At 43.4% G+C, this 2,249-nt stretch overlaps 2 annotated features.

Annotated features, from left to right (window-relative positions):
• Positions 424–563: an enhancer, noted in NCBI's record as "active region_13361". NCBI's record gives its function as "activates an Ori minimal core promoter by ATAC-STARR-seq in GM12878 lymphoblastoid cells {active_cell/tissue: GM12878}" and the evidence as "EXISTENCE:reporter gene assay evidence [ECO:0000049][PMID:35858748]".
• Positions 694–743: a silencer, noted in NCBI's record as "silent region_9475". NCBI's record gives its function as "represses an Ori minimal core promoter by ATAC-STARR-seq in GM12878 lymphoblastoid cells {active_cell/tissue: GM12878}" and the evidence as "EXISTENCE:reporter gene assay evidence [ECO:0000049][PMID:35858748]".

A 2,249-nucleotide genomic window follows, 5' to 3' on the forward strand; every position in this document is an offset into this window, starting at 1 on the left:
GGAAATTTAAACTATCCTTGGGGGCTCTGCTGACACCAAAAATAGCTTCTCTACGAAAAGCAAAGGAAAAGCTAGTTGCCAAATGTTAGTGGCTACTGTTGGGGGTATTAAAATTGAGTGCCAATAACTATTAACAGGTATTCACAGGTAGAAACAGAGAAGTCTGGGGCATGGGGGCCCCAAACAGCCAATGTTGCCCCCAACCAACTGTCCAGGTCCCTAAAGAAAATATATGTGGGAAAAAGAAAGCAATGCTAAATGACACTTTCTTTTTTTATTCCACAAATGTGTATTAAATACACTATGCACCAGGCACAGGTGCTAGGGATATAGCGATGAAAAAAACAGAGGCCTGCTCTTAAGGGATTTACATTCTATCTCCAAATTCATTAAGAGAAGTTTGACCTCAGATTGTCAGCCCCAGTTGCCTGTGTGGCCTGCCTCCGACTCAGAGACCACCCTGCCATGTTAGAATGGCTACACCTGCCAGCAAGGCACAAAAGAAAGTGAAAGAGACAGAACGTTTGCCCCAAAAGTGAAAGCAGAACTGGTGAAGGCCACCTGCCACAGCAAGGGAGAGAGGAGAAAGCTGCCCAAGACCTGGGGTGGGGGTGGAGGGGGGCAGGGGGAAGAGTGGGGGAAGACACAGAAGAAAGGATGCTTCTGGGCCTCATCCCCTGGGCAGTAGCCCTGACACTAGTGTCCTTTCTGGCCTCAGAAACCCCAGAGGGAGCCATAAGAGTCCACACCCAAGCATGCTAGGACCTAACTCAGCACAGTGGTAGTGGAAGCCTCACTGGGGAATATGAGATTCCCCATATTTTACCCTATCCTTAGGGATGATTCCCAAATCAACATTTAAAGGAAATGAAATCGGTCTTCAATGCTGTTAATAATCCTGACCCAATCTCTCTCTTTGATCTATTATTTGTCCTATGTACACTTTGTACACAGTGGTTTTCTCATTGGCTCCAGACTCTGCCTTGACCTGTGTATTCCCTTTGCCTTTGCTTCAAAAGTATAATCTCCCACCTGATCTGGCCTCTCTTCCTTTGATAGCTATTTACATGGTCTCTTCTTCTATCCCAACTATTCTGTGCACTTTCCCCACCAACCTCAGCCCATGTGGCTCTCTCCTTTCCCTGAGCTCTTCGGATGCCCACTATCTGTGGCTCTCCCTAAGATTTAGCATTTACCACCATGTTTATATGTCTTGTTCCCTTTCATCAATTATAATTCCATAAAGAAATCCTTGACAACCCCAAAACACCTAATCCATCACATTGCATATGTTTAGTATGCAATAACCGTTTTAATTTTTAAAACTACTTACACTGTGCTTACCTTACAGAGGATTTAAACAGGTGGTTTCAGTATACTTTGGTTGATGGATGGATGGATCAACTGACTGATTAAAGGTATTGCTTACCTTTATATATATTACGTATATATCATATATATCATATATATATAAAGTGAGGTTCACACAGTATGAAAGGTCCTCAGTAAATGAAGGAGATCACCATCGCCAACCTGCTTGATGGTGGGATGTAAGTTGTCTTTAAGTAAATTACAATAAGCATATACCTTTTGGCTGTGCAGGTGTGAAATCCAGGGTTAAATTTCCTCCTGCACCTACAACATACATAACGAAACAAATGTAGAAACAAATAATAGGGAAGTAAGTTATAGATGGTCCTTTAGAAGTCAATTTCATCTGCGCATCTAACCATAAAAGCAGCATCTGCTCTGCTAAATACAGGTGTTTTATATCCTTGTCATTAATTGGAGGGGACATTATGTCATCATACATCAACAGTTAAGGTTGGTGAAAGTGCCACTTATCTCAGGTGCTGTCATTAATCAGGTTCTTTTCAGCTTGGTGACTCCAGAGGCTCGTCTCGAAGCTGCTCTATGTGAATGGGTTTTCCCTGTAGGTTTGAGGTGTCCTTTTATTATCATTTTGAATGAAAACCTTGGGACCCAGACGTAAGAGGCCATTAAGGGAGCTGTTTCGATGCTTCAGAGAAGAGAGACATTTTCCTCCATCACCTTCATTGCCCCCACTCTCTGTGTCTCCACCAAGCAGCCACGGTGGAGAGGAAGGCAAAGCAGCACAAGCTGTTGTCTCATCACGGTTTAACCCATTACTGAATTTCAACAAACCAGTGCAGCTGGTGCTTCAACAGAGCTGGAAAGCAGCAGAGTCCTAGAAGGAAGCACTGTCTCTTTCTATCTGACACCGATGT

This window comes from Homo sapiens, chromosome 18, assembly GCF_000001405.40.
Source record: "Homo sapiens chromosome 18, GRCh38.p14 Primary Assembly".
Taxonomy (NCBI): domain Eukaryota; kingdom Metazoa; phylum Chordata; class Mammalia; order Primates; family Hominidae; genus Homo; species Homo sapiens.